At 44.4% G+C, this 11,703-nt stretch overlaps 2 annotated features.

Moving 5' to 3' along the window:
- Window positions 5,733-6,234: an enhancer, noted in NCBI's record as "H3K4me1 hESC enhancer chr8:9176485-9176986 (GRCh37/hg19 assembly coordinates)". NCBI's record gives its function as "activates a minimal SCP1, AML or CMV promoter by ChIP-STARR-seq in naive H9 embryonic stem cells {active_cell/tissue: H9 hESC(naive)}" and the evidence as "EXISTENCE:reporter gene assay evidence [ECO:0000049][PMID:30033119]".
- Window positions 6,235-6,734: an enhancer, noted in NCBI's record as "H3K4me1 hESC enhancer chr8:9176987-9177486 (GRCh37/hg19 assembly coordinates)". NCBI's record gives its function as "activates a minimal SCP1, AML or CMV promoter by ChIP-STARR-seq in naive H9 embryonic stem cells {active_cell/tissue: H9 hESC(naive)}" and the evidence as "EXISTENCE:reporter gene assay evidence [ECO:0000049][PMID:30033119]".

An 11,703-nucleotide genomic window follows, 5' to 3' on the forward strand; every position in this document is an offset into this window, starting at 1 on the left:
GTACCACAGGCATGCACCACCACACCCAGCTAATCTTTGTATTTTTTGTAGAGATGGGAGTCTCACCATGTTGCCCAGGCTGGTCCTGAACTCCTGAGCTGAAGGGATCCTCCTGCCTTGGCCTCCCAAAGTTGTGAGATTACAGGTGTGAGCCACCACACCCAGCCCCTTTTCTTGTCTTTCTTTTCATTATTATTTTTTTTTCTTCTTACAATGCTCATGATAAACATTAGGGGGAAATGACTGGAGAAAGGAGACAGAGAGAGCATGCCATCAGGAGAGTACTTCTAGCCACAGATGTTCTGTTAATACCAGCCAGCACAAGGTGTTACATCTAACAGTATAAAATCAGTCTAATTGGTTGGTTGGTTTTTCCATCTCCTCTGAAAAAGACTTGACTCTCTGGCAGTCAGTGCTTTTGGGTTGGACTATGGCCTGCAACAGCCCCTAAGCACATTCAGGTTGTGTGACCTGGGCCTGTTCCCTGCCTCTCCTGGCCATTGCCTCTCAGCTTCCACCTGCTCCTGCCTCTTACAGGCTCACCCAGCTTGGACCCAGGGCTCCGGCTGGACCTTCAGCTCCTGGGTCTTGTTGATCTTCACACCAGGCTCTGCATCCTGGCCTTGTCTCTCCTCATTTTGGCCTTCAACCTGGTCAACCCAAGATTGAGCCAGGGCTTCTGGGCCCAAGGGGCATAAGAGAATAAAGCATTCTTGTTTAGCATGGACAGCCTGGGAGATGGGCAACCCAAGAAAACCCACTGGCAAGGAAGACTGCCCAGGAACGAAGAATCACACAGTGTATAGTGGATACACCATGGGCTTTGCGGTCAAGCCAAATTGGTCAGATCCTAGATCTGCTGCTAATTGTGTCATCTTGGCCAGAATATTGAAAGCCTCTGAGCTTCTTTTCCTTATCTGTAACGTGAGGACAACATAATCTCCCACATGGATTTATTGGGAGGATTAAATGAGAGCTTGTATATAAAAGTCCTTGCATACACCTGATTTGTGGTAGGTACGTAATGTTAGGCCCCCTCTCACCTCATCTATCCTTTCTTCTCCCTTTTATCTTATGTATATGTAGGCATAAAGTGAAAAGCAATGAAATGCTTTGCATATAATCACATGTAAGGTTAAGTAGTGCTAGGATGAATAATACTGCTGCTTTGCTGTGAGTGTCTGTTATAGCTTGGGGTACAGACTCATTTTCCTTAGGAAAAAGTCCCTCTTCCAGGCAGCTTGCCTCTGGGATAGAGGAGGAACCTGGGATCCATTAGGACTTCAGGCCATAAAATTTAAACATATTAGAATGCATAGGACGTTAGAGGGTTAGTCAGCAGCCAGCCATCATTTTTGCAGAGGAGACCCAGAACTTGACACCTAGAGAAGTTAAGTTGCCTGGTTTAATGTCACAGATCAGATCTACTGAACTCCCACCTGCTGCTTCTCTGAAATGAAAGATACCTCGAGAAGGTTGTTGTGTTTCTGTGTCAAAAGAATATAAGGGATGCAACAAAACATGGTCATACCTATGACCAGTATGAAAAAATATGCATGATAAAAAACACTAAACCAAAAAGAGGACAGGTATTTTAAAAGGCTTTTAAAAAAAACTGAATCTGTTAAAGTGATGCTGTAGTTAAATGCCACTATATCTTAAGAGAAAATTCTGCGTGGGCGTCAATACCACTGACAGATGGTGAGTTTACACAAGAGTGTCTATTGAATGCAACAGACATTACGTATCCCAAACAGAAACAACCAGAAATTCTGTTGCAGTGTGTGTTGAAGGTATGGCTAAGAATCCATAGCACGACTTACGTAAGAAAGGTAAATAATTACTAGTGTTTTCTTGCTGTAGCTGGTAAGTTAGTATATTTGTTCATGGAGTTGATTAGGATTGATGGGCTAAGAGGTCATTTGGATATATCAGTATGACAGACATAATATCAGGAAATGAACTATTTAGGGGTGCCAGGAGAGTCTTGATGGTTTGAGCAGACAGTAGACCAGTCAATATCAGACAGCGTGGTTACAGGCTGTGACAGGTGACCTGTTAGTGTTAATTTCAGACTTATTAGAAAATGTAGCAAGGCAACATTTGTAAGGACAGAGAACTTCAGCCCATTCATTACATTATTCACCAGCAATTGCTTAGCACTAAAAGGTTAGAATTGGAAAATGTCAGGGACATTGCAATTAGCACTGAGTACGGAATATGATTCTGTGCCTTGAACTGCTGAAAGTACAATGATTTTCATGACCCTCTTGAAACAGAACACCATATTCAGCTGTATTTCATGGAGTCTGGGGAGATCCATCGAGGGGGTTTAAAATTGGAAAGATATTTTGTTTTGTTTTGTTTTGTTGAGACAGAGTCTTGCTCTGTCACCTATGCTGGAGTGCAGTGGTGCTATCTCGGCTCACTGCAACCTCTGCCTCCCGGGTTCAAGCGATTCTCCTGCCTCAGCCTCCCAAGTAGCTGGGATCACAAGTGTGTGCCACCACGCCCGGCTCATTTTTGTATTCTGAGTAGAGACAAAATTTCACCATGTTGGCCAGGCTGATCTCAAACTCCTGACCTCAAGTGATCTGCCCACCTCGGCCTCCCAAAGTGCTGGGATTACAGACATGAACCACCGCGCCTGGCCAGAAAGAGTTTTTTTGAATTGTTGAAATAAATTGACTTGCTCATTGATCCAAGGAAAAATTTCCATGCCTTCTCACCAAAGACTAGGCCATCAGAAACAAAATCTGGAATATTTGTTTTGAAGGGTGTCTGTGCGTGAGATACCTAGACACTGTAGTTAAGAAATATAAGATGCAATGCACTCATTTCTAAAGAAATTACATCTGAGAAACTCATTTCATGGAAAATTATCTGACCCACTTAACTACACTGGAATGAGTTTCCAGAAATGAAAGTGATAGACGGAACTATATTCTTAAAATTGTCCATTTGTAGACCAGACTCCAAAAAATTGTATTTCAAACGTAATGAAAATGAAATAACATTGTTGAGTTTGCTTTCCTCAATTAATCTTGATAGGATAAAGGAAGCACTATAAATTGATATGCTTGAACTGTAGGGAAAAATAGTACTAAAAATTTACCATAACTATACTGAAGTCCCAGAAATCTAAAGGTGTAACTTTTCTAGGAATCCATGTCCAGAAAACAAAACAGAAGAGACATTGACATTTTGATCTAGAAACAGCAGTGCCTGGTTTCCAGAGTTATATTAAAGAAGAAATGAATTATTTAAAAAGTGTATTTATTAAGCATTCCTTATTCTCTACTTGCATTATATACATAGAAAATCTAGTCAATATTACATATATTTACATATAACCTGCTAACATTCAAGTTTAATAAAAAATAAATCTGGCTGGGTGTGGTGGCCCATGACTATAATCCCAGCACTTTCGGCGGTTAAGGCAGGAGGATTGCTTGAGCCCAAGAGTTTGAGACTAGCCTGGACAACATGACAAGGCCCCATCTCTACAAAATATTTAAAAAATGAGTTGACCCTGGTGGTACATGCCTGTGGTCCCAGCTACTTGGGAGGCTGAGGTGGGAGGATTGCTTGAGCCTAGGAGTTGGAGGCTGCAGTGAGCTATGATTGTGCCACTGCATTCCAGCCTGGGTGACAGAGTGAGATTCTGTCTGAAAATAATAATGATAATAATAATAATAATAAAATAAGAATAAAGTGTATATGCCAACTTTTCTTAAATTTTGTCCACTCATTTCTGTTACCTGCCTGCTGTATAGGCATGTGACTTTCAATCCCTGGCCTGAGAGTCCCTGAACTTGAGGGAGGATTTGTTTCTGCACATCATGTGGCTGCTGCTGGCGGCTGCGTATCTGAGCTCAGGAGCGGAACACCACTTGGCCTGGGCAGAAACCCAGAGTATTGCCACAGAGAGGGCAAGCATCCAGGGACTGATCACATGAAGCTCCATCCACAATACTGTGTGGCACAGCCATGCAAGAGATACAGTTAACTACTAACAGTTTTCAGTTTCCAGATGCCTGGCCTTGACACCAGAAGTGATCATCAGCCCCTTTGTGCTGAGCCAGACTGGAATGGAAGAGTATTTTCTTGAATGAGAAGTGGAGGTCCCTAGAGGGAGATACTTGACTTCCTGGGACAAGTAGGGGCCTATGTGATTGATTAAAACAATAAAAGATAGAGTCATTCATATTTTTGTTTTTAATTGACCTCACGTGGATAGAATTAGATTAATTAGAACTCGATTTGTAACACACTCTCATCATGGCCTTCTTTGAGCGTGTGAGTGACTGCATTTGTTTAATTATTCAAAGAGATGAATGCATTCAAAGTCCAAATTTTATACTGAAGAATACTGTGCACCACGGTGAACTCTACTCATATGAGATCTAAAAGAAGCCCACAGAATGGACAACCAGTATTTATTGAGCATCTATTTGACTCAAAGTCCTATGCCGGGCCCTTTGCAAACATTTTCTATTTAATTCTCCCCAAATTGTCCCTGGGTAACTGCTTCTTATCCTCCCTGCCTCACTCCCTCCTGCTACTGTAAACTGGCTGGTCAGAAATAGAATTGCTGTGAGCGACAAGAACATTGCAGTGCAATATTCTCAGGTGGTTGGGTGGTTTGCTATTGGGTGACTTTCAATTTTCACAGCCGAACTTTAAAGTCTCATTAAAACAGTTTTTTGTTGCTGTTTGCTGAGTTTACGTCAGCAGCAATTCAGCAAATAAGCAGACACAGCAGATTGCCTGTTTTGGCAGGTCTAATAAGAGACCTACAAAAAATGTGATTGCGAAGGAAAAACGTGATTTCAGAACTAAAGCCTAGTGAGCCCCTTGGTAAGAATTGTCTTCTATAAATCCTAATTGATCTTTACATGTGAATGACTTTGAAAGAAAATGAAGTCTCTTTCTTCTCCCCCGTCATTGGACATGTTTGTATTGGCAGAAGTTTTGAATGGGTGATTGCTAAGGAGTTTGGAAATCTCTATTAGTGTCTGATGCAACCTGATGTCCTGAATAACATTAAATTTTTTTAAATCCTGAGCATGAAAAGAATCCCTCTTAGATTAGAGCAGCTATAAAGATCCCAGCTGGCCCTTCCCTAGGGTTTTAAAAGTTTTTCTAAGCATCTGGCTGGAAGAATCATGAGGAAATACTAAAATGGCTTGATATTTATTGCAGCTTCACCTGTGGGCAAAGGACTGTGCTTGGTGCTGGCTGAATCAGACAGGCCTCTCCCTCAAGTTGCCCACAGTCTCATGATGGAAGTAAGACAAGTCTCCAAAAATTGGAATTCAAGGTAGAAAGAAATAAGGGCCGTAAAAAGTACAAGGCAGGGCCAAGACTTGCATAAGGAGCTGCAGATCCGTGTGATCTTTAAGATGAGAGTTGCTAGTGTGGAACCGGGTTGTGCAAAAGGTTCTCTGGGACAGCGAAAGACAGAGGATGGGGAAGCCACGGTGGGTGGAGATGAGAAGATGGCAGTGAGAACCCAGCGAGAAGGCTTCCTTATGTTTGAGCTGCTGTGAGAAGAGTGAAGATGAGGCAGAATTACAAAGGCAGCAAGGCCTAATACTGCTGTGCCCTCACCCTCACTGAGCCCCTTTGTTGACACCTGCTGCCCAGATTCTCAGTACTCCCGCGCTATGGCTTGGTGTGCAGGGGCTCTGCCTCTGAGGGGCCCCACTCTTTCCTGTCTTCCTCCTTTTCCCCTCTCTGTTGTTCCTCCCTAGGGTCCAGGTCTCTACCTAGTAAGGGCTAAATTACTAACTTACTGATAGGATGAAATTAGTAATGACTCTGTATTTGTTTCTTAGAGGTCGATCTCTAAGAATGGCAATCTCCCTCCACACTGAGTCAAAAGGAAGGTATTTGAGGACTTGGATTTGTAAGTTGTTAGAAGAGCCTCTAAAGTCACCCTGCCCAGCCTCCTACTATTCTATCAAAGCTCCCTAAATCATCTCTGACAGGCAGATAGGCCTGGGTCTTGGCAGCCCCCAGTCCTGCCTGCCTGGGGAAGACTTAGGCACCATCCCCATGCACATCTTTATTCCAGGTCTCTGCTTGGTATCAGTCAAGCGCGTTAGGCAGAAGCTGGTCTGAATTACGGGCACAAAGCCCCTCTTCAGCTCCAGGGCAGCAGGGAGGCCTGGGTTCGGGGAGACCTTGCTTAGGGCGGGGATAAGAACAAGCTGCTACTCAGCTGTGGGCTGTTTATGTCAGGGACATAGCAGTCCACGCCAGGTGCCCGCGGTCCGCCCGGGTCTGTGGCCGGCAAGCTGCCGACAGGCCGGGGCGTCAGATAATGTGGGCATTCATTCACTCCGGCAGCTCCCTGCAGCACTCACTGGAGGAGAGGGGGTTGAATTCTGAACTAGGAGTACAGACAGCCCAGGGGTGCAAGCAGCCCTTTGCCACAAGTGCATTGCCACTGTCTTCGGGGGTTCCTCTGCAGGGTAGGGGGCGGGGGGCACTGTCAGCTTGGAGAGTTGAGACATCAGTTCAGGGTAATATGTGAACTTTTGTTGCCTGCCTTGCCTAAGTCTGTAATAAGACTAGTTAAAAATTGCTAGAATTTCCAAATCCTCTTTGTGACTTTTTCCCCCAGTAGGCTGCCTGCTAAGAAAGAGTAGACAGACCCAATGTCCTCCGATCAGTCTGGACTCAGTTCATCCTTCCCCTGGTACAGAAGAGCTGCGTCAGTCATTCTCTCTGTGATCTACTGATAAGAGTCCTGGACGGGGAATTCCAAGGCCATGGGTCTATTCCCAGCCTTGCCACTATGAATGTGACCTCCAGCAGTTAGGTAACTGTTTTGGCCTTCTGTTTCCTCACCTTTAAAATGGACATAATAGCAACTGTCCTACCTCCCTTCCGGGATGGCTGTAAGGATGAAATGAGAAAGCAATCACAAATCATGTCATACACAAGAGGCCAGTAAGTCCTCAAGGCTAGATGTTGGCAAACTTTTATGCAAAGGGCCAGGTAGTAAATATTTTAGACTTTTTGTACTGTATCAGGCCTCTGTTGCCTATTCCTGTGTGTGTTTTACAACCCTTGAAAAATGTAAAACTAATTCTCAGCTCCTGGGTCACAGAAAAACAGGCCACAGGCTGGATCTGGCACACAGGTTGTAGTTTGCCAATCTCTGCTCAGAGCGAATCAGAGGTGAGGACTGGAGGTAGGGTCAGCAGTTGTGATAAGTCTGAATCTAAATAAACATTAAAAATACGTAATATATGAATCATATATAAATAGAAAGGAATTTACATATACACGTTTTTTCTGACTTGTGGCCCGCACTCATGTAATTATTTGAACCCCAGCCCATAGGCCATCTTGTCTGAGTACTCCTAGACCATTTTGCCATTCACTGAATTCTTCATTGCCTAGCCTAACCAAATGAAACAATCAATCATCCAGAGGTGGCTCAGGGTCTGTCTGGCATCCCTCCTGGGCAAAACAGCATCTACTCTGAATTGCTTAGCAGTCATACAACTAGAGGGCAGCCTTCAGCCTCAGCTTGGCTGGTTGTCACTCCTAAGAGGTTCATTGGGGCCTTACAGAAATGAAACCGCTGGCAGACCATCTTGCCTACCTGGGCAGTGCTGCCTGGGCATAGCTCCTGCATGGCCTCCTTCTCAGGGAGAGTGGGACAAGGATCTTCATTTGGGGATCGCTACTGCCCATGTAAAAACCAATTCGTGTTACCGGTGACAATGAGCATTCTGACAGTACTTTGTTGACTGTGTGTTTAAGCTGTTATTATTTCTCCCATAACACCCTAATGAGATAAGCTGGCATTATCACTGTCATTTGCAAACAAGGGAATTGTGATGACAGATATTTAAACAACGTTCTCAAGACACAAAAGTCAACTTTCCTGATGAGGTGGACCAATGTTTCTGGTTTCTCATCTCTCCCATGAGATCCCTTTTCCCCTTTGCATGTCTCTTTCTCCTTTTCCCAGCCTCACTCTTCATTAGAAGATATCAGAGGAGCCACAGAATGAACCCCTTAATGAGAACAGCTGATAACAAAGAATCTTTATTTCCTTCTCTTCCCTTCCAAAGGATTTCCAAAGAAAAATGGCATGTCAGTAACACTTATCTACAGTAACGAAAGCAGCTAGATTTCAGATATACGCATACAAGAGGAAGTGCCGACCTAATCCATCTTACTTTTGTTGACAAGTGTGGAAATATGAAATAAATGCAACACTTTAGAATCAAGGTCTTAGCTAGCAACACCTAGTATCCTCCCTTGACAGAAGGGTGTATGGAGAGACAGAAAGGGTATGAGCGTTTCAAGGAGATGGCTGGTGTTCCGAGCTGAGGCTGGTGCTCCTGTCTCTGACTTTGAGTCCAGTCCATCTTATGTATTTATATTTTTTGAAACGGAGTCTTGCTCTGTTACCCAGGCTGGAGTGCAGTGGCATGATCTCATCTCACTGCAACCTCTGCCTCCTGGGTTCCAGCGATTCTCCTGCCTCAGCCTCCTGAGTAGCTGGGATTACAGGTGCGCACCACCATGCCCGGCTAGTTTTTGTATTTTTAGTAGAGACGGAGTTTCGTCGTGTTGGTCTGGATGGTCTGGAACTCCTGACCTCCTGATCCGCCCGCTTCAGCCTCCCAAAGTGCTGGGACTACAGGAATGAGCCACCGTGCCTGGCTGTCCAGTCCATCTTCTATGACACCCTGCTCTTGCCCAGGTTGTCACTACCTTGCTGGTCACATGCCTACACAGCTGCACCTCAGGCCTGTCGTTTCATTCTTATAATCTCTAACAGTCTTGTCCCTGTCCAGATGAGGATCTCTATCATTTCTAATTCCGTCCAACATTTTCCCTCTGGACGATTATTTCATTTTGTTAGCACATTAGGCTAAAAGCTCAAGGCTGCTGTTTCAGCACAGCACAGAGGACAACTCTATTCCACAAGAGAAGGTGCCAGTCCTCCAACACAGACGACACCTCCAAACGTGACCCAAGGAGCTTACAAATGCCTGGCCCTGTTCACAGGAGGGACAGAGCAGATAGCTCAGGGTCTGTCTAGCATCCCTTCTGGGCAAAACTGAAAGTCCCCATCATGAGGACAGTGGCCATCTGCACTCTTTTCACAGATGAAGGGAAATACTTTAGAAGCAAAAACTTAGCCAAGAGCAGCGCGTGGCAACCATTAGGCACATAATAAAGGTTGACTAAATGAACGAAAACCCTTCTACAAAGATTTTTGAGGTGAAGCTTTTTAGAAGAGGAATTGCACATGCTAATGAACTTAAAAGATAAATGGCTTCTCTGGGAACACTGTTTAAACATCAATTTCTTAATAAAAGTGTGATAAACGTAGAAGATGGATAGCGGTGTCTCCCACCCTGAAACTATGGCGAGCCAGAGATGAAAAATTCTTATCGTCCAATCTTGGTTTCATTAAACTACATGCATCTGTCATTGTGTTATATTTTACAACTTTGTTCTTTTACTAGAGTTTGGGTTGATTTATTCCTGACAATGTGCAAGAGATACGTCTTCATCTCATCACAAAGTCAAATTCTAGTGACCCCTGAAAAGCTTTTCCAATGACCACTAGTCCCAGTCATGCAGTGCAAGTTTTCCTTAGTTTTAGTTCAAACACTGGATGCTCTTGACCTTGCATTTAGACTTTGGAGAGGGGCATGTCCTACTGTCTTGGGGCTGTGGCCCTTGGTGCGGGGCCTCCTGAGCAGCCCAGACTATCAGCTTCATGAGAGCCCTGGGGAAAATGCTGATTTTATTCTTCCTACTTTATAGTCTGTTACTCCTGCAGAGAGGTCAGGAAAAATCAGATTTAGGAGAAAATGTAGTTTGTCACAACATCCTTGAATCCCACTAACTTCAGGATACCAGCCAGTCTTATTGGTATGGCCAGATAAGGTCCTCCATGATTTGTTCTCAACCTCCCTTTATAGTCCTCATCTTCCATCCCTCTCCTCCAGGCCCCATCAGCTTCTGTGAACAGCTTCTCCCTTCCCCGGTGTACCAAGCTCTTCTTTTACCTTTGTGCCTTTGCCTGTGCCCAGAAGGCCCTTTGTCCTTTTTGTGACTTGGTGAAATACTCATCCTTCAAGACCCTGCTCAAATAGTCGTCCATGAAGCCTTTCTGGATTCACATAGGCTGTCATTTCTTTCCACTGTTCTTTCTTAATGCCTTGTGCAAACGTTTCTGATGATACATAGGACTCTCCAAAAGTTACCTGTTTATGAGTTTATCTCCTCTACCAGTCTGTGAGCTCCTGATAGGCAGGGATGGTAACTACTCATTGTTGCCTCCTGAGCCTAGCCTTGTGCCTGGCCATAGTCATCTCTAAGAAATGTTGAGACAATGGAGAAATGACCTGAAACTAGATCTTGGAAGCCTTTGATATCCCAGCAAAATGATTCAATGCTATCTTCAGTGATATCCATTGTAGGGTATTCACAGTGATCCACTGGCGGTCAGGGAGAAAGTATTAGAACTACTATTTATGGTTTGTCAAAAATTAACAATGAAAGTAAACTTTTCTAATATTTTCTATAAAATGACAGTAGCACACATATTTGATTTATAAATAAATACAAACATTGGCCAGGCATGGTGGCTCACACCTGTGATCGCAGCACTTTGGGAGGCCAAGGCGGGTGGATCATGAGGTCAGGAGTTAAAGGTCAGCCTGGCCAATACGGTGAAACCCTGTCTCTACTAAAAAATACAAAAATTAGCCAGGCATGGTGGCGTACACCTGTAGTCCCAGCTACTTGAGAGGCTGAGGCAGCAGAATCACCGGAACCCAGGAGGCGGAGGTTGCAGCGAGCCGAGATCGCCTCCACTGTGCTCCAGCCTGAGCAACAGAGCAAGACTCTGTCTCAAACAAACAAACAAAACACATACATTAAGAATAGGAGGTGCCTTTGAGAATTGTAGGCTGCTGTTGTAAGTAAGTGGAAGCCACTGAAAGACTCTGAACCGGGGGAAAACATGAAAAAAACAAGTGTTCAGAAGAATTGGTCTTATAGACTAGATGGAGATAGAGTCACCAATCAATGGGCAAGGCACTGAAAGGGCCATACACAAGAGACAAAAGACGAGACAAGAATAGGAGTGATAGGAGCGGGTGGAAAAGAAGATCTACTAAAGAATGATCATCATTATCTTTGTTAGCATCGTTCCATCAGTGGAACTGGGTCACGTATTGTCACAGTAAGGAGAAGGAGAAAGAGCCGCATGGAGACTCCAAATGCAGTTACAGAATGAGACCACAGGCTAAACTCAAAGGAGAACATGGAATACTTTGCCCCAGGCTTAGAGTCTATAAGTGAGACTTTCAAAAACCGTTTTTCCCCACTGGTTTGAAGGGGCAACAAATAAAGGCCACTCCTCGGGCCTGTCCAATCCCAGATTGGGGCTTCTCAGTAAAGACTATTTATAGCTCTGATTATTGCAGCAAGGTTATGCAACTGCTGCGTGGGGCAGGCAGGACAGCTGTCCCGAGCCCTTGCCGGGTGAGTGACCGTCTGACCGTCTTCTGGCTGCTTCCTGTTGGCTTAGGAGACAACAGAAGAAGGTGGATTTGTTTGTCCATTGAGCAACCTGCCATTGCCCTGCCTGTGCCCGCCTGTCTCCCTTTAAACATTAACAATCTCTTAAAACATTTGGGTTTTGTGCCC

This window comes from Homo sapiens, chromosome 8 (assembly GCF_000001405.40).
Source record: "Homo sapiens chromosome 8, GRCh38.p14 Primary Assembly".
Classification (NCBI taxonomy): domain Eukaryota; kingdom Metazoa; phylum Chordata; class Mammalia; order Primates; family Hominidae; genus Homo; species Homo sapiens.